Source organism: Homo sapiens, chromosome 3, assembly GCF_000001405.40.
Source record: "Homo sapiens chromosome 3, GRCh38.p14 Primary Assembly".
Lineage (NCBI taxonomy): Eukaryota > Metazoa > Chordata > Mammalia > Primates > Hominidae > Homo > Homo sapiens.
The window spans coordinates 43,941,654-43,962,815 of record NC_000003.12 but is presented as its reverse complement, the minus strand read 5'-3'; the positions used below and the strand labels follow the sequence as shown (position 1 = coordinate 43,962,815).

The 21,162-nt window shown below is 46.1% G+C and overlaps 1 annotated feature.

Moving 5' to 3' along the window:
- Positions 13,108-13,167: an enhancer, noted in NCBI's record as "active region_19753". NCBI's record gives its function as "activates an Ori minimal core promoter by ATAC-STARR-seq in GM12878 lymphoblastoid cells {active_cell/tissue: GM12878}" and the evidence as "EXISTENCE:reporter gene assay evidence [ECO:0000049][PMID:35858748]".

The following is a 21,162-nucleotide window of genomic DNA, read 5'->3' as shown; positions in this document are numbered from 1 at the left end:
GCATGTCCAGGTGAGCCCCATGGTGCATGGATGGGCACTGGTCACATCTGCTGCATGCATCAGGGACATTCGGGGCTACATGCGAAGAGGGAAAGCTGCAGATGTCGCCAAGATTCTGGTATAGTTGTGTTTAGTTCTGTGAGAATCAGCACAAAGGGAGAAAAGCAGCCCATGTGTCCCCCAAGCCTGTAATGGGGCCACTATAACCCGCAGAGCCCCCTTACCTTTCCTTCCATCCTCAGAAGGCAGAAGAGGAGAAAGGCATCCTTTTTCTTGCTACATCTTCAGGTGACAGTTGTGGCAATGAGAAGACTGCAGCTCTCCCCCAATCAAGTACCTTAAGAAACTGGAAGCTTTTAATTACAAAGGGAAAAAGGGAAAAGGTACCTTTTGTGGCAACCAAGAGATTATAGAGATTGGGTGTCTCTTCAGGAAAGGACTTGCCGGTCAGCTGGAAGGAGCATGGTGGGCAATGACTCCCAGCTATGAATGCCTTAAGTCTCTGCCTCAGTTAAAGCCATGGGCTTTCCAGGCCACTCCCAGCTGATGACTGGGCATGGTGAGGGTAGCAGGGCCAGACCATTTTGACCAACACAGATCTCTTCAATGGGCAATCCACTCTGGAACTCCTCTCTGCATTGGCCAAAACTCTGGCACCCTTGCACGACAAGCTGAGGCTCTCCCTGCTCAATCCTGCTGCTTCTGTCTTGTATTGATATCAAAGGTGTTACCTCCCAATAGACCTCCCATACTCTTCTTAACTCTGCCTACACACACACACACACACACACACACACACACACACACACACACACACACACACACACAGTTCATATATACATGGAGAGAGAGAGTGAATAAAAGGGACCAAATGTTCTAAATGTTAAAAATTAGTGATTCTGAATGAAGAGCATATGGGTGTTCATTGTCCTAGTATTGCAACTTTTCTCTATATTTGAAATTTTTTAAAATAAAATTTGTGGGAGAGAAACAGAAAAGAAACTGGGACTTCTCTGAGAATCCCCGTCTCTGGCCTAGGGCAGCTGATGAGTTCTGTGCCTTCCTGCCTCCCTGCAATGGACCTCACCAGGTGCCTCTTTCACTCATTTCTTTTCCTGGGCAGTGGTGAATACCAGACAAGTGGATTATTTGGCTTCTATGGAGGACCAACTGTGTGCTTTACCCTAAGCAACACACCAGCTTGTATGCAGCTTAGGGACACAAGGGGCACCGTCCAACACTGACACATTCCAATGCCAAGCCACAGAGCCCAGTATGGGCTCTTGTGTTTGTCATGGGGAGCTGCATGAATGGGCTGAATGAAGGCCAACATAGACACAGAGCCTTCCCAGTGGGCAGAAAATCTTCTGCAGTATGTGCAGAACACAGGAATTGACCAGAAAAGAGACAAGCGCAGAGAAGAACCTAAAAAAAAAATTGAACAAAAATGGCATATTGAATGTCTTTTTAGGAGCTTAAGCAGTATAGAAATAAATACTGAGAGCAACGAGAATGTCAGTTCACGCAGTTGTCTTTAGGGTGAGCAGATGCCCTCGTGTACCCGGTGTAGTCCCTGTTGCCTGATCATGTCCAATCTCAGAAGTGTCTCGATTTAGATGTTAAATTGTGTGGTCACCTCACTTCTCTCCCTTTGATGCTTCCTGTTATTAATTTGTCAAATATTTGCTGTGAACCTCCTGGGCCAGGGCTCTGGGCTTATTCATGACAGGGTCAGCGGCATGGTTTCTCCGGCTCAGAGAGAAGACTTTCATTCCCGATGCACGGCAGAGCAGAAAGAGCAGGGGGTTTGCAGCCAGGCCGAAGAGAGTCTGGATTCCTCTTCTGCCACCAGCTCTCTGGCCAAGTAAGGAACCCCCCATGACTCAGTTTCCCACCTATAAAATGAGGACATACCATGTTGCAGTTTTTCAGGATGCTCTAAGGATGAACTGTAGGGAGTGAAAAGTGCCTGGCACATGATATGTTTTCAATAAATGGTGTTATTATTAATAGGGAATCTCATCAAGGGTTCTGTAGCTCAGAGCCCTTCCCACTGTAGAGTAGGCCACCTGCATGTGGCCTGTGCACGCACATGTCCTTCCCCTTCATGGCTCCTTTCTCCCCTGCCCCCGTGCTACAAGGAACTAGAGATTACAAGCTCCTGCTGTCTACCTGGCCTCTTGCCAACACTCTTCCACTTGTGGTCATAGCTAAGCCTCACAACTATCTTTTGAAATTGATATTGCCACTTTATAGGTGAAGAAATTTAGGTCCGGAGAGATGTAGATATTTGTTATGCACTAAAATTCCTCTTAGGGCACTGTGTGGTTTAAGGAAGTACAGCCAGGATTGACTACATAATTGGCAGGGCCCAGTGTAAAGAAAATAAGGAGTCCCTTATTCAAAAGTTGTTACGAATTTCCAGATGCTGACAGCAGAGCATTAACCAAGTGCAGGGGTCTTCAAAGCAAGAGGTCCTGAGCAACTGGACCAGGCCCGTAAGTTGACCCTGAGTGTAGTCCTTGGAAAAGTAGCTGTGGTGAGCAGGTGAGGCCCCCAGGGTGGATGCAAGCAGCAGATGGCTTCTGTGCTGCTATGTGCCACCTGGGAATGGATTAGCTTTGCTCCTGACAGCAGAGGAATAAGGAGGACATCTGGAAGGCAGAGGAAGGTGTGTTCTGTGCTATGTGACCACCCTCCTGTCTTCAGTGGAGTTTACTAAAACACACAGCGATGAGTAGGGGCGGAGCAAAACAGAGGCAGCCCTGAGGGGTACTGAGAAAGTGGGCTTCAGGAATTCATAGAGACCTCAGGGGAAGACTGTGGGTTTTCAAAAGGATTGGGCAGCTGGGCCAAGTTTGCTCAGCTCTCTGCCTGTTGGGTGAGGTTCTGAGGCTCAGGGAACGTGTCTACAGGGCAGAGGGAGGGGCTCTCTGGGGCTCTCCTGGATCCTCCACTTGTGCTTTAACCAAAGTAGCCCGGCGTTAATCTGCTTGATATCGGGGTTCTCCTCAGAATCCACTGGCAAAGGTTTACACAGTTGGGGCTCCCTGAGCAGCTGTCTGTGGTGGGTGGGTGTGGGTGGAGGCCTGTCCCCTGAGCCCCTCCCATGAGGTGGAGCAGTTGCCTGAGCGAGTCAGCTTGCAGTATCCTTAGCTCAGCCGAAGCAGGCTTCTGCATCATGCTGGGCTGCTGGAGAAACAGCCTCCCACTGCAGGTCTTGCTTCCCTCAGTTTCTTTGAATCCAGCAGTATTGTTGGAGAATTCTAATGGCAGACAATGTAAATGCATTCCCCAGCTCTCCCTGGAGTGATGTGGACAATAACTACGAAGGTCTGCAAAGTTCATAAACAGCAGAAATTTCTCTAGGAAGCTTTCATTCACCTATGGAAATTGCCAAAAGGCTTTGGGTCAGATCTAGCTCACAACTGGTACATTATTTGGCCTATACAACACTCAAAAAGTATTTGGACGCAGTGTTTAAAAATCAGAGATTTCATGTAAAATTTTGGATTTTGGGTTTTTCTGGGGAAAAAGTGCCAGCTTTTGGCAACCCCAGCTTGTTTCTACCTGTAGCTAAACTTACCTGCATGGCACAGCAGGCGCTTCCTTTACCTGGCACCGTTCTGCATTCACCATGCCCTGCACCCCTCACCCATGTCATTCACTTTATCATGGACTTTGTGAACTTTTTACCTGGATTTTGTGAACATGTGCACTTGCTCTGGTGATGCTCACAGTAATGTCATAAACACACTTGCCAACCCCAAATGTCTCCCATGGAGTTATTGGACTTCAGATGCCATTTAGCACATCCTTCATCTCTGAGCATAAGCCTCTGGCCAGGGCTTTAGAATTAACTGAGTTTGCTTAATTTTAGAGTTAAATGTTTTATCTGTTTTGGCAAGGTGAGTTTTTTTTGTGACATAAATGGATGCTGTGAGTGCAGGTCCTTAAGTCTGGATTCAGAAATCAACTTGCTCCTTACAAACTTTACACTGGGTCCAAGGGCTTACATTTTCAGCAACTTTCTCAAAGATTATCTGAGAAGGGCTATCTTTGGACCCTATTATCTCTCTCTAGCTCTCTCTCTCTCTCTGCAAGATGAATTCAGCAAAAGACCTGTGTGGCGGATTATGTTATTAGCAGAGCCCTCGCAGGAGAAGAGTCTCTGGATACTAAGCATGTCGATAATTACGTCCTTGGTTTGAGGCCAGAACCCCCTCTCCCAGCCCGGCTGCTTGCCAGAGACCACAGGCTTCCGCAGCCCTACACGGGGAGAGCTTGGAGCCCCAGCCTCCCACTCTGGAGAAGTGAGCTATTTCTGTGTGTGTACGTGGGAAGGGTGGGAAGACGGAAAGAAAAGTGAGAAAATGTATGTAAGCAAATATTTCAAAAAAAAAGAGGGGGAAGCTCATCTTTAAATGGCATTAGAAAATAATCAATGTGATCCTGCCAGACCCCAAAATGAACAGCAGGCCCCATGTCCCTTTGTAGCCCAGGGAGACACTCATTGCCAGTTGCAGCCTCCGGGCAGCCTGGGTGTTCTCAGGAAAATGAAGCCAGTTTCAGTTCCCATCTCACCTGCCTGGAAATGATCAGTGGGGCCCTGAAACTACTGTCAACCCAAGTTGCAGAAGATAACTGTGCTCTGTTCCGCCGCAGTCTTCTAGAACGATGCCTGAAATTTAACGTGTCTAGGGCAATGCCAAAATGTACTTCAGCGTGATTTTCTTACAGGAACAAAGGATGATGATAAGAGAGGCAGGAAAGGGAGTCATAAGCCGAGGAGTTAATTTTGTTCTTTAATATGCAGGAAAAGCAACCAGGCAAGTTTCCAGCTAAACAAGAGTAATTTCTTCTCATCAAGTCTTTTCCTCCCTATATGTTCTACCAATTCTAAAACTAGCCCCTCCCCACTCTCCCTCCTTCACCTTTAAGGGGCACGTTGAAAAGGTAAATGATGAGATTTTTGAGTGAATGCAGAATGAATAGAACTGAGATGAGAACATGGTGACAGAACTGATTCAGCTGCTGATCAGGGACAAATGTCCACAAGTGACTCAAACCAAATGAAATTGCACCAAAAACATCACTTTCAGTTTTGAGAGTATTTTGACATTCAGGCTTTTCTTTGTTTCAGTAGTTTCAGAAAGTGTATACATTTGCTTCTGTTTTAGGCTTTTGATTCACATTCCAGTTGAAAGAATATGGATTTGGTTCTATTCGAATTTGGCAAACTAACATCTTTTTTTGGGTTTGGCTCTCAGTTGAGTTGAGACCCAGGCACACAAAAGCACTAGCTCAGAAACATACACAGTTCAACATGGCAAAGCTCACCAGAGCCAAATAGTTTAGTTATTGATTAAAATAATTAAAATATCAGAATCTAATGGATGGCAAATATCTGAGGAGCTTATATTTACTCACAGGAAATTGAGATAAGCCAGTTAAGGAGCCCCTCTTTCACAACAAGCTGGGGATTGGTCATGTTAAAGAATCACCCAAGAAATCTTAATTCACATTGCTTTTAAACGTGTATATTGACGTCAGCTATTAACGTGGATGAAGACAGCCTGAACTTTGGTATTTCCTTCAGTAGTGGACACTGTTGGTACCCTGCTCAGATTCCTTTACAGCTCATAGCTGCTGTTCCCCAGCCCTGGCCTCAGCCTAGGGAACAGGAGCCACCTCCCCGCCCTGGGTTACAAGTCACCGTAACATCCACAAACCTGACCAGTGACTGGCACAGAATTACAGAAGTCAACTCCTTTGCCTCAGGGTGGGACAACTCTGGGGTACAATTCATGCTTCAGAGCTCCCTTGGGAACAGGCTGAGACTGGTCTCCAGCTGAGACCACACCCTTGTTTAGCTCCTTCCCCTGCTCCTTCATTCTTCTCTGAGGGCCCCTTGTTTAGCTCCTTCCCCTGCTCTTTCATTCTTCTCTGAGGGCACCCCCAACTGAGAATCCCCATCTCAGGCTCTGCTTTCTTCCAAGTGCTGTTTAGGTGAGAACAACTCTCTTCTGAAGGAAGTCATATGTGGTTCAGATGTGCTCTGCTGAAGTCCTGTCCAGTATCTTAATATTATGTTCCAGTGACCTGAAAAGTGTTTGTGACTTAGCAAACTGGTGGTGTTCTCTGGGATAGGTGCCTTTGAACACACAATAGGCAAATTTTCCTTGTCCAGGGGCCCCAAGATGAGTAGAGATTTCCAGTTACTAACAAGAAAAATATTAAGTCAAAGTGACTCTGAATTTCTTTCTGAGCTAAAAGAATCCATTCCAAGTAACACTTCAGTCCCCATTCTCTTGTATCCTAAAATGCAAAAGAAAAACAAAACAATAGAAAATGCCTCAACCCAGCAATTCTATTATCAGCTCTCAGACAGCTCTTTCTCCACTCTTCCCCCGCCACCCCAAATTGCTCTTTCTCTCCCTCTTATATATCTTCCACACAGCTGGAAAGACCATTGAATCTAAGAGGAAAATCAGCAAAACCATACAGCTTTGTTGCAACAAAATGGCACTTCCTTCCTGGACACCCGTGTTTGAGCTCTTTTGCATCTGTATGATGGTGCTTGAGGACGTGATTCTGTGTTGTATACCTCATTCTGTTGACTTGATGTCTACACTAACTGTGACATAGGCAGAGTATGGAACTTCAGATCGCAAGTAAGTAAATAAGTGCTGACCATCTGCAATGAAAGCAATATGTCTGGGTTGGAAAGAGCTTGGGGAAATCTTTTAACTCTACAGTTCAGTATTACCGATGGCCCACTCTTCTGGCACACTTACATCTGCAGCAGATGCTGTTGATTCCCTGCCTGAGGGCTTCCATGCCACAGGAAGGGTCTTGGCTGCAAGCAGGAGAGATCTGAAGTGAATGATAGTAGGGCAGTTACACCAACCAATGAGAGATGGGAAGAGGTACAGAAATGTCCCAACTCCTTATTCTGCTCGGAGACCTCTCTGAGACCATTCCATATGGTCCATCCTCAGGGAGTCCCCAGTGGGCCTGAGCCCTTCTGTTTTCTCCATGACAACCCATTTATTAATATAGTCTTTATTCACTTTTCTCCCTTCCTTCTCTTACTTTCCCCACTCATTTCTGCTTCCTGAAATCACCTCTTAGAGAAACTGCCTGCACCCAAGTCCTTATGTTGGGTCTGCTTTTGGGTCATCTAAATAAGATCCCTCCATCCATCCCTCCATCCTGCCATGATCCCCTACTAGGTTCCAGCTACTGGACACGGAGAGGGGAAGGGAAATCAAGAGAATCCCGAGCTGAAAATATATCCTTTCTCTTTCCAGAGATCTCTCAGTCTACTTGAAAAAGATGATTACCATCGGATGGGGCAGTGCTAGAACAGCTGGAGACACAAATTGTCATAAGAACACAGAGGAGAGAAGAACAAACTCAGCCTGGGCATACAGAAAGTCTTCAGGGGGAGGGAGGCATGTGTCTGCTGGGCTTGAAGGATGTGTGGCACAACAGAATGATGCATAACTGGAAGAGGGAGGGTCCAAAGCTGGCACAAAAGGTGAAAACTTACATATGACAGAAAGTACACTTTTGATACTAGAATCCCATTCAGCTTAGTATCACTGACAGTGCCTAAAATTTTCTCTTTTTCTCTCTCTTTCAGCAAGACATTTTTTGTCAATTAAATTCTTACATGTCATGAGTCCATGGATACTTTCCAGGTGGAAAGAGAAGACGAAAATGCATGGAGGCGTGAAGACACGTGTGGCGATTAGTTAGGGTTCTGGGGTGTAGGTGAGTGGAGCTGAGAAGGCAGGTGAAGGCCAGGTTGTGAGACACACTAAGTGTCATGCTAGCAAGCTTGGACCTGTGGGGTTATGGAAGATATCAGAGGTTGTTGAGCACAGGAGTGAAGACTCTAGAGTGATCTTCCGAAACACTTATAGTGGATTTCTTATAAACACCATATAGTTGTGTCTTGTTTTTTTTTAATCCACTTTGTCAGCCTGCCCTTTAATTGTTATATTTACACCACTTCTATTTAAAGTGGTTATTGACATAGCTGGATTAATAACTATTGCATTTGTAACTGTTTTCTATGTGTTGTTCTTGTTCTTTGGTGCTTTAAAAAAATCTTCCCCTCTTTTTCTGCCTTCTCTGATGTTAACTGAGCATTTTATGTGATTCTATTTTATCTCTTAGCATATCAATTATACTTATTTTTTTAAAGTTCTTATTGTTTGCCCCAGAGTTTACAATATGTACTTACAACTAATCAAAGTCCACATTCAGATAACACTATACCGCTTCACAGGTAGTGCAGGTGCCTTACCACAGAGTATTCGTAAGTCCTCACTCCCCTCCCTTGTAACATTGCTGCCATTAATTTCACTTAGAGTGACTTTCAAAACATAAATCTGAACCAAAGTGAGTGATGAACTGTAGTGAGACAAAAATAATCTGAGAATACTTCAAAATCTTGGAGGCAAGAACTGCTATGTGGTAGATTGTTTGCAAACATGGCTAAAAATAATTCTACCCTGTACTGTGCCCCTTTGCAATGTGACTTTACCACTTCTCGTCAATAAAGAAGTGGCATTTATTTCTCCACCCCTGGAATATGGGCTTGACCACATGACACTGACCAATGAGTCATCAGCAAATGTTCCGCAAGCAGGACTTGCAAAGTGCTTGTGCATTGGAGCTTGGCCTCTTGTTACTGGTACATAAAATCTGAATGTCATCCCTGTGTAGGGCCATGCTTAGTTCTGCTACAAAGAAACCAAGAAACCTTTACTTCTGCATGTTCTGCATTGTGGTCTGGGAAGCTCATACCTGTTGCTTTTGCAGGAAAGTCACATCTTCCGGCCACTGGCCCCTCTGGGACTGCACTCAGCTGCCAGTGAGTCAGCCCCTATCCATCACAGGCTCATTAGCTACTGTGTCCGTTTTCTGGACACTGCCGGCAGACAGCCCTCTGTTCACTGGTCTTTTAATAGCATTAGGAAAACCCTGGCTCCAGTCACTCCTCTGGTCCTTCATATGCATGAACATTCACCAACCTGCCCATTTTATTAAGAAACAGCCAAGATGCAGTATGCTATCCACCCTCCCACCGCCACACACACTTTAAATAGAAAATAGGCAGGAGCCAGAAGATTTATGACCCATGATTTGGAATGCAGGAGAGAGCACAAAGGAGCACGGAGATGTCCTTGGAGTTCAGACCAGTGGAAGTCGGTCCCATCGTGGTGCAAGGCCGCTCACCAGGTACGGCCTCCATCACTCACACCCGGTCAGATGCGCCACCCGCTGTCCCCAGCTCCGTCTCTCTGCTCATTCCTGTAAGCTACTGGTGGCAGCAGCACTTAATCACCACATTGCCATGTATAAAAATTTAAGGAGTCTGCTGTCTCCAAGAAATGAATCCCAGATCATTTTAGAATCTTTCCTCCCCCATTTTTATTATTTCTTTCTTCTCATTCATCAGCCCTAATTTCACCAAGGGGGCTTCCTTTGGGTGTTCTGAGAAATCTTAATGCAGGGTTAAAGTATTGCTCAGTGTGCCCCCGAAAAAGGACAGCTGGAACCACCCAGTGTAGAAGCCCTCCCTGCCCATTTGATGAGTGTGGACGGCTGCTTGCTTGAAGGGTCTTGGGCCCTTCAAAGCCACTTTGCAATCCTGGACCTGGTTTCCCACTGTTTTGCCCAATGTCCTTTTGGAGCAGCAAGCAGGCTTTCCTGGAAGAGGCAAGGAATGAGAGGACCCCAGTTCCGATCTCACCCCACTGCCTCAGCCCAGGTATGCCACATCTTCAGAACCTCTGCATTCCAAGGAATGAAGGGCCTTGCCTTGTTTCACCTGTACAGCTCAGTCTCGTGATAGGCGAGACCGTTCTGAACCATCTCTCAGAGTACCTTACATTGCTGGAGAGGAGTGGTGGTGAGGCGGTGGGCAGGGGATCGGGTAACCAGGTCTTCACTGGCAAGAGTCAAAATGACGATTGTGTTGGGGCCTGGACACTATAATAGCTGATGGCCACATAAAGCCAACCAGGGGACAGCGTGGCATGGTGTCAGAAACATGGCCTGGGGTGCAGATGGGCTGGTTCGATTAGCTACATGGCTTTGACCAAGTCACTTGGCCTTGCTGATGCTCAGTTTTTACATCTGTAAAATAAGGATTGTTATCAGGCTTAAAGGGAATATTAACTGGAAAGCTGTTGTTATGTACACACTGAGCCAAAAAGAGCAGAAACAGTTGATACTGTTGTTATTACTGTGCTTATAATAAAACTATTACTATTATTATTAATGCTGGAGACACCAATTCTGAATGGGGACAGTGTGTGAGCCTGTGCTCACAGGCAGCAACCTAGAGCCAGGGCTACAGGGGCTCAGGGGCAGTGGCTTGGGATGGGGCAGGGCCAGATCTCAAGGCCATACTCTACCGGGCTTTCCATCTGGCCCAGCCTGAGTGTTACCCCCTTCTGCTCCTTTCCCAGGCAGTAATCCCATCCCTGGATTCCTGGCAACCTCTCAGTCATTTGCCTCAGTTTACTTGCACACGTATTTGACAGGAAATGGATGGCAGGGTTTTACTGTGGAGGGCTGTGGGGTCCCCTCCTATGCCACAGGGTCAACAGATGATCTTTAGGTTATAGATGACTTTGGCAGTTCCCCAAAGGGTTTCTCACTGCCGTGGCCTTTTGTCAGAGAGCATAGTCTTTTGTGTTTATGGGTGGAGCTTTTGCCCTCTGAGAGTAGCAGCTCCTACCAATGTGCACAGCATTCTCATAAAGAAAGAAACCAATAAACCAAATCAAACAACCATTCCCAGAATTGCTGGGGCAGGAGGAGGCGCAGGCTCCATTCATTAACAAAACCAGTCCTGGCTATTATCTTTAATACGTGGACTGAATCTTTATTGCGTTTTAATCTGCTCCATTCATTCTTTGTGGGCCAATGATTTGATTCAGAAACCAGAGCAACAATTTCAGGACTGTAATTTGTTGACAAGGTACTGGTTCTTAAAAATTCCCCCGTATTCTTGTTCCAGGACTATGGAAAGAACATCTGTTCTAAAAGTCTAGGGATCTAAGTTCCAATTCTAATTTAGCCACTAACTATGTGGATGATTACAGGGAAGGCATCCAAAGGTATCTTTGTTTGGGTTTTTTCTCAAGGCAGACCCTGAAATAAGCACCTGTGTTCAGGGAGTTTATTGGGAGGGGTAAGGGAGTAGGGTGAGTGGGACAGGGAAGGAGAAAATACAAGAATGGATGTGGTAACTGGAGAACTGGGGCTCAGTTCTGCTGGGGCCTGTCTGAGAAACCATGCTGAACACACTTAGAATTGTCCCAGTGCAGGCTGGGGTGGCTGGAACATACACCCATCGACTCTCAGCATCCCCATTTGAGGGTTGCTCCAGGAATATCAATGCCTCCAAACTTCAGTTGTGCCTGCTTGTGACACAGCAAGCTCTCATGGCACTGGAGAAAGTTTCAGGTAGAGAAGGTGGCAGCTGTCATGCAGGAACTGTCTCCCACAGCTGCAGATTAACTCAGGTGGCTGAGGGGATATGGGGTGGGGCATAGTGTCTGCTGCAAGGGTTAGCCCATTGTGTGGGGTGGGACATACTGGAGCGGGCTGAATTGTATTGTATTGCTTAGAACATGCTGTATGTAGGATATAATCTATGTTCCCAATATAAACTTGATGGCCTTTGGCTCAGCATCCTGACCTGTAAGGTGATTAGCAAGGTTGCTGCTGCAGAGGTGGCTGATAGAACCTGATATCCACTTTCCCCTTCTCCCTCAGTAACAGAATTTCTAGCTGGGCACACAGTCACACAGGAAACAGACTACGCTTCTCAACCACTTCTGAAGATGGGTGTGGCCATGCATTCAGATCAGGCTAACGGGGTGTAACTGGAATTACAGCATGGTGACTTCTGGGAATCGTCCTGTAAAACAGTGGGTGCTGCGCTTTGCCCTTCCTTCCTTTCTCTTGATCCCTTCTTATGGCTCTTATGGCTGGGATGGGGTGTGAGAGCCATCAGCTTGGACCGCGAGGGGAAGACCACACCTGGTGGCACTGCAGGGAGCCAGAAGGAGCCTGGGTCCCTGAAGACTTTGTTCCTTAGCCCCCAACTAGAAGCTCCAGCCTTTTACTAGAGAGAGAGAGGAATAATCTTTTATCTTGTCTGAGCCACGAGGCTTTGAGTCTCTTGTTACTAACAGACTAACTTAATCCTAAAGGATATAGTCCTTCACAGTTCTAATACTTTCCCCTGAATTCAATGTTTGTTTTCTCTCTTTTTTTTTTTTTTTTTTTTTGAGGTGGAGTCTTGCTCTGTCGCCCAGGCTGGAGTGCAGTAGCGCGATCTCGGCTCACTGCAAGCTCCGCCACCCGGGTTCACGCCATTCTCCTGCCTCAGCCTCCCGAGTAGCTGGGACTACAGGCGCCCGCTACCATGCCTGGCTAATTTTTTGTATATTTAGTAGAGATGGGGTTTCACCATGTTGGCCAGGATGGTCTGGATCTCTTGACCTCGTGATCCACCTGCCTTGGCCTCCCAAAACACTGGGATTACAGGCATGAGCCACTGCAGCCGGCTGTTTGTTTTCTTTTGAAATAACTGGAGGAAAGGACTAGAAATCCTTGCTGGCCTCCCCTGCCCCTCTTTGGTGGGGGGTAGGGGGTGGTGGCTGGGGAATGGCAGCTACAGCACCTTCCCATGCACGGATGAGCTTCCATGCAGTCCCAGCCAGCCTGCCTTCTAAAATATTTGAACTCCTTGGGCTTCACCTGGGGCTGCAGCTCCACTGTCACAAAAGCCACCAGCCCCCAAGCACCTTTGCTGTTTGGAGGAGTCATTATTTTTGTGCCCCATGTGCTGCTGAGACAATCTTGTCCCAGTGCTCTAGGTGGGTGGAGCAGATGCTGCGGTTCCCCAGGCCCATCTTGGTGTCCCATGCTGCCCGGGGACACTCCCTACATGCTGACAGCTGCCTCCTCCAGTGCCTGCATCCTCTTTCTCTTCACAGGAGGCTTCATCTTGCACCACAGGAGTTTGCTCAGCCTGCGTGTTTGCACCTCCAGGGACAGCTGTCAACCGGGGGCTCTGCAGTTAGACATCCGACCTTCTGTCCCTGTGGGACAGTTCTGAGGTGCATTCTGCACAGTTCCTCAGAGGATCCCTCTAAGGGTGGAGCCCTAGTTGCCCACCGTGGAGACCCACTCACTAACACACTCCCTTCCCTGGATTCCCCTCCACAAAAAACACATGTACACCCAAGTTCTCATCTCAGAGGCTGCTTTTGGGGCAATTGGACTTCCATGAACTCTGCAGCCTAGAGAGGTCCAAAGACCTCCCCAGAATCTCCACTAATTCCTAGGGACCTTTAGGTTTCTGTGTTCTTGGCTCATCCATCCAGACATACTGTTCTTATTTGTACTTGAATCAGCCTGGTCTCAGAACACAGCCCTTTCACAGGTGTCCAAAGAGAGCCACTCCCACCAACATCTCAAGTTTTGCAGACCTCTGGGTTCTGGGAATCACATGTCCTTGCGGTCTCTGTGACCTCCCCTTCCCTCTCTTCTCTTCCCATTGTCTCTGTTTCTACACCCCATCCCTCTGGATTGCTCCAGAAGCTCTCAATTCTCCTTCACCCTACAGAGCTGCTGCCTTTAGACCCAAGGAGCCAAACCAAGCCCATAGGTTGTTGGCAGAACCGGGGACCCTCCATTGAACAGGACCCACTTTCCTCAGAAGAATGTGGGTTTTTATCTGTACTTCACCCATCAGGAGAGCAGGGCTTACAGGCGTGATATTGGGCTGCCCAAGGTCACAGGGCTAGTAAGTGGGTACGGCAGACTCTGTCAGGGCCCGTGGGTATCCCCTCAACATTCACCTTTCCACACTGAAAAATGCTAAGGGAAATCCCCCGAACTTTCTGCCTCAGGGTTCCCCTGCCTTTCCAAGGGACACAGGACGAGTTGAAGTGCCAGAGAGTGAATGTCCTCAACCGATGATGGAAGGGTGTTGGAGGACACATATCCCAGTTGTTGCCTCTGGCTGGGAGTGGGAACATCTCTGAGCCTCACTTCCTGGAGTGGTAACTGTTTCATAATTCACTCTAACTTATGCCTCCCCTCACTTTCCACTCCTGACTGATGTTTCTTGGGGTCTTCTACCAAGTCAGCCTCCAACTCCTTGTTTCACAGTCTGTGTCTGGGGGAATCTCAAAATAAGGCAGTAGCGGAGCTGGAATTTGAAACCATGTTTGGCCAACCCCCAAACAATGCCCTTTCCAATATACCACATGTGCCCTGCAGCATCTCTTGGGCATTTCTGCCTGTTGTCTGGTTGCCAGTGCCTCCTGGTACTTGCAATGCTCTTCTGTTCCTGACTAGACAGTGCCCCTTCCCCAGGGTTCTATCTAGCTTCCAGTCACCCTCCCTTTCCCAACATTCTGGCCTGGCTTGGAGACCGCATGCTGAGCTAGGAGCTCTGTCCTGAGACGGTGGGAACCCTCCTCACACTGAGACTGTGGGGGTGTAATTATTCATGGCTGTGGTTTGCCTGTGGCCTGGTGTTTCCCAAGCTCTTTGCAACTGTTTAGATGCAACCTGCCCAACATTTCTCTGATGTGGCTATAGGAAATTGCCTCTTTGTTTTCTTGGCCCTCTACCCAATGCCTTCGAAATGGGCCACTCTTGGAAGGCTCATCTGTCTGCAGTTATACAACCTGCCCACCTCTCCCACAATAAAAATGATTCAAAACTAGAGCATTCCTGAGGAGGGGCGTCGATCATTTTTTTGGCAGGCCCTGTAAGGGTGACCAGCACAGCCAAAGGGTATACAAATAAGGGACACCTGACACCATGTGTGGTGGCTGGAGCTTATTCCAGATTCATATACTGTTTGGCTGTGTGGGATCCCTCCCGGGGCTGTCTGTGTCACAGGACAGTTCTTAGACACTTTCTGTCCCTAATCAGAAAGGGGTTAGTTCCTGGGGTCTGTGTCTAGGGGATCTTGGAGGTGAAGGTGTGAGAAGGTATCAGTGGTGTTGCGGGAGAGACCTAAAGGGCTGGACACAGGACGACCTTGTAAAGCACAGCCTTTGTGTGGAGGTGGCCTAGCAAACCCAAGTGAAGCTTTACCAGGAAGTTCATTAAGCTCCTCCCACTTGTCAACTGGTCTCACAGAGGAGGGTCCCTGTCAGAGATCAGAGATCATGTGGGCCTTGCCCAGACTCCTGGAGGACACAGCCTTAATATTGCCCCTTCCACAGTGAAGAGTAATGTGGAAACTTGGAGTTAAGCCTCTAAGTGAGGCCAAGGGCTACTTGCAGTTTGAATAATGAGATGCTTCCTAACTCAATGCAAAAAACCACCAGGTGACTTAGTTCACCGGGAGCAGAGTGCACTAACTGGGGACTTTAGCTGGGACATGATTACTGAATATATAAATGTATTAAAAATGCAATATAGTTTGGCTGGAACATCTGTGTGTTTGGCCATGAGTGACGGTCTAACAAGAGACTACATTAGAAAGAGGGTTCTGGATCCCCATGAATTCATACTTGCTGAGAATATAATGAGTTCCTTAGTTTTTCTAAAGTGTTCTGAAACATCAAATCCTAAATTCACTTCTAGGGCTGTTTCTTTAATGATTGATGGATGTTCTGCATACAAAGGATATGCAGTAGCTACCTGGCCCTGGTCTCTTCTCCTGTTCAAATAGATCATCCTCTTAGATTCCTGTTGGGTGTGTTACAATGGTGTTAATAATCTAGACTATTAAAAAGAACATCAGTCAGCATGGCTGGTGGGAATGTAAAAAGGTACAGCTGCATTTTGTGGAAATCAGAAAGGAGGAAAAGTGTAAATATTAAATTGTAAATTGTAAATAAAGCCACATAAAGGCTGCACTTTATAAGGTCATCCTGTGTCCAGCCATTTGGGTCTCTCTCTCACCACCCCTGATACCTTCTCACAACTTCACCTCCAAGACCTCTCAGACACAGGCTCCAGGGACCAACTCCTTCATGATTACACCATCAATTTTGTGGTTCCTCAAAAAGTGGAAACCACTTTTGTGGTTCCTCAAAAAGTTAAGCATAGAATTGTCATATGACCCAACAATTCCACTCCCAGGTATATATACCCCAAATAATTGAAAGCAAGGACTTGATCAGATATTTGTACACTAATTTTCATAGCAGCATTATTGATAATATTCAAAAGGTAGAAACAAATCAAATGTCCACAGATGAATGATTAACAAAACATGATACATAGAGGTGGCTGGCAAGGTGGCCGAATAGGAAGAGCTCCAGTCCACAGCTCCCAGAGACATCAACCCGGAAGTTGGGAAATTTCTCCATTTCCAAATGAGGTACCCGGCTCATCTCACTGAGACTGGTTAGACAGTGGGTGCAGCCCATGGAGGGTGAGCAGAAGCAGGGTGGGGTGTCACCTCACCTGGGAAGCACTAGGGGTCAGGGAATTCCCTCCCCTAGCCAATGGAAGCCGTGAGGGATTGTGCCATGAGGAACAGTACACTCTGGCCCAGATATTACACTTTTCCCATGGTCTTGGCAACCCGCAGACCAGGAGATTCCCTCAGGTGCCTACACCACCAGGGCCCTGAGTTTCAAGCACAAAACTGGGCAGCCGTTTGGGCAGATACTGAGCTAGCTGCAGTTTTTTTTTTCATACCCCAGTGGCACCTGGAACACCAGTGAGATAGAACCATTCACTCCCCTGGAAAAGGGGCTGAAGCCAGGGAGCCAAGGGGTCTAGCTCAGCAGACCCACCTCCACACAGCCCAGCAAGCTAAGATCCACTGGCTTGAAATTCTCACTGACAGCACAGCAGTCTGAAGTTGACCTGGGATGCTTGAGCTTGGCGGGGGGAGGGGTGCCTGTCATTACTGTGGCTTGTGTAGGCAGTTTTCCCCTCACAGTGTAAACAAAGCCACTGGGATGTTCAGCTCCACAAAGCCGTGGTAGCCAGACTGCCTGTCTAGATTGCTCCTCTTTGGGCAGGGCATCTCTGAAAGAAGGGCAGCAGCCCCAGTCAGGAGCTTATAGATAAAACTCCCATCTCCCTGGGACAGAGCACCTGGTGGAAGGGGCAGCTGTGGGTGCAGCCTCAGCAAACTTAAACATTCCCTTGTAGGGGAGGAGCCAAGATGGCCAAATAGGAACAGCTCCAGTCTACAGCTCCCAGCGTGAGCGACGCAGAAGACAGGTGATTTCTGCATTTCCATGTGAGCTTTGAAGAGAGCAGTGGTTCTCCCAGCACACAGCTGGAGATCTGAGAACGGGCAGACTGCTTCCTCAAGTGGGTCCCTGACCCCTGACCCCCGAGCAGCCTAACTGGGAGGCACCCCCTAGTAGGGGCCGACTGACACCTCACACGGCCGGGTACTCCTCTGAGACAAAACTTCCAGAGGAACAATCAGACAGCAGCATTCGCAGTTCACGAAAATCCGCGGTTCTGCAGACACCGCTGCTGATACCCAGGCAAACAGGGTCTAGAGTGGACCTTTAGTAAACTCCAACAGACCTGCAGCTGAGGGTCCTGTCTGTTAAAAGGAAAACTAACAAACAGAAAGGACATCCACACTGAAAACCCATCTGTACATCACCATCATCAAAGACCAAAAGTAGATAAAACCACAAAGATGAGGAAAAAACAGAGCAGAAAAACTGGTAACTCGAAAAAGCAGAGCACCTCTCCTCCTTCAAAGGAATGCAGTTCCTCACCAGCAATGGAACAAAGCTGGACGGAGAATGACTTTGACAAGTTGAGAGGAGAAGAAGGCTTCAGTTGATCAAACTACTCCAAGCCACAGGAGGAAATTCAAACCAAAGGTAAAGAAGTTGAAAACTTTGAAGAAAATTTAGACGAATATATAACTAGAATAACCAATACAGAGAAGTGCTTAAAGGAGCTGATGGAGCTGAAAGCCAAGGCTCAAGAACTACATGAAGAATGCAGAAGCCTCAGGAGCTGATGCGATTGACTGGAAGAAAGGGTATCAGTGATGGAAGATGAAATGAATGAAATGAAGCAAGAAGGGAAGTTTAGAGAAAAAAGAATAAAAAGAAATGAACAAAGCCTCCAAGAAATATGGGACTATGTGAAAAGATCAAATCTGCATCTGATTGGTGTACCTGAAAGTGACGGGGAGAATGGAACCAAGTTGGAAAACACTCTGCAGGATATTATCCAGGAGAACTTCCCCAATCTAGCAAGGCAGGCCAACATTCAGATTCAGGAAATACAGAGAACGCCACAAAGATACTCCTTGAGAAGAGCAACTCCAAGACACGTAATTGTCAGATTCACCAAAGTTGAAATGAAGGAAAAAACGTTAAGGGCAGCCAGAGAGAAAGGTCAGGTTACCCACAAAGGGAAGCCCATCAGACTAACAGCGGATCTCTCGGCAGAAACTCTACAAGCCAGAAGAGAGTGGGGGCCAATATTCAACATTCTTAAAGAAAAGAATTTTCAACCCAGAATTTCATATCCAGCCAAACTAAGCTTCATAATTGAAGAAATAAAATACTCTACAGACAAGCAAATGCTGAGAGATTTTGTCACCACCAGGCCTGCCCTAAAAGACCTCCTGAAGGAAGCATTAAACATGGAAAGGAAAAACCGGTACCAGCCGCTGCAAAATCATGCCAAAATGTAAAGACCATCGAGACTAGGAAGAAGCTACACCAACTAATGAGCAAAATAACCAGCTAACATCATAATGACAGGATCAAATTCACACATAACAATATTAACCTTAAATGTAAATGGGCTAAATGCTCCAATTAAAAGACACAGACTGGCAAACTGGATAAAGACTCAAGACCCATCAGTGTATTGTATTCGGGAAACCCATCTCACATGCAGAGACACACATAGGCTCAAAATAAAGGGATGGAGGAAGATCTACCAAGCAAATGGAAAACAAAAAAAGGCCGGGGCTGCAATCCTAGTCTCTGATAAAACAGACTTTAAACCAACAAAGATCAGAAGAGACAAAGAAGGCCATTACATAATGGTAAAGGGATCAATTCAACAAGAAGAGCTAACTATCCTAAATATATATGCACCCAATACAGGAGCACCCAGATTCATAAAGCAAGTCCTAAGTGACTTACAAAGAGACTTAGACTCCCACACAATAATAATGGGAGACTTTAACAACCCACTGTCAACATTAGACAGATCAATGAGACAGAAAGTTAACAAGGATATCCAGGAATTGAACTCAGCTCTGCACCAAGCGAACCTAATAGACATCTACAGAACTCTCCACCCCAAATCAACATAATTACATTTTTTCAGCACCACACCACACCTATTCCAAAATTGACCACATAGTTGGAAGTAAAGCACTCCTCAGCAAATGTAAAAGAACAGAAATTATAACAAACTGTCTCTCAGACCACAGTGCAATCAAACTAGAACTCAGGATTAAGAAATTCACTCAAAACCACTCAACTACATGGAAACTGAACAACCTGCTCCTGAATGACTACTGGGTACATAACGAAATGAAGGCAGAAATAAAGATGTTCTTTGAAACCAACGAGAACAAAGACACAACATACCAGAATCTCTGGGATGCATTCAAAGCAGTGTGTAGAGGGAAATTTATAGCACTAAATGCCCACAAGAGAAAGCAGGAAAGATCTAAAATGGACACCCTAACATCACAATTAAAAGAACTAGAAAAGCAAGAGCAAACACATTCAAAAGCTAGCAGAAGGCAAGAAATAACTAAAATCAGAGCAGAACTGAAGGAAATAGAGACCAAAAAAACGCTTCAAAAAATTAATGAATCCAGGAGTTGGTTTTTTGAAAGGATCAACAAAATTGATAGACTGCTAGCAAGACAAATAAAGAAAAAAAGAGAGAAGAATCAAATAGACGCAATAAAAAATGATAAAGGGGATATCACCACCGATCCCACAGAAATACAAACTACCATCAGAGAATACTACAAACACCTCTACGCAAATAAACTAGAAAATCTAGAAGAAATGGATAAATTCCTCGACACATACACCCTCCCAAGACTAAACCAGGAAGAAGTTGAATCTCTGAATAGATCAATAAGAGGCTCTGAAATTGTGGCAATAATCAATAGCTTACCAACCAAAAAGAGTCCAGGACCAGATGGATTCACAACCGAATTCTACCAGAGGTACAAGGAGGAACTGGTACCATTCCTTCTGAAACTATTCCAATCTATAGAAAAAGACAGAATCCTCCCTAACTCATTTTATGAGGCCAGCATCATCCTGATACCAAAGCCGGGCAGAGACACAACAAAAAAAGAGAATTTTAGACCAATATCCTTGATGAACATTGATGCAAAAATCCTCAATAAAATACTGGCAAACCAAATCCAGCAGCACATCAAAAAGCTTGTCCACCATGATCAAGTGGGCTTCATCCCTGGGATGCAAGGCTGGTTCAATATACGCAAATCAATAAATGTAATCCAGCATATAAGCAGAACCAAAGACAAAAACCACATGATTATCTCAATAGATGCAGAAAAGGCCTTTGACAAAATTCAACAACACTTCATACTAAAAACTCTCAATAAATTAGGTATTGATGGGACGTATCTCAAAATAATAAGAGCTATCTATGACAAACCCACAGCCAATATCATACTGAATGGGCAAAAACTGGAAGCATTCCCTTTGAAAACTGGCACAAGACAGGGATGCCCTCTCTCATCACTCCTATTCAACATAGTGTTGGAAGTTCTGGCCAGGGCAATTAGACAGGAGAAGGAAATAAAGGGTATTCAATTAGGAAAAGAGGAAGTCAAATTGTCCGTTTGCAGATGACATGATTGTATATCTAGAAAACCCCATTGTCTCAGCCCAAAATCTCCTTAAGCTGATAAGCAACTTCAGCAAAGTCTCAGGATACAAAATCAATGTACAAAAATCACAAGCATTCTTATACACCAATAACAGACAAACAGAGAGCCAAATCGTGAGTGAACTCCCATTCACAACTGCTTCAAAGAGAATAAAATACGTAGGAATCCAGCTTACAAGGGATGTGAAGGACCTCTTCAAGGAGAACTACAAACCATTGCTCAAGGAAATAAAAGAGGATAGAAACAAATGGAAGAAC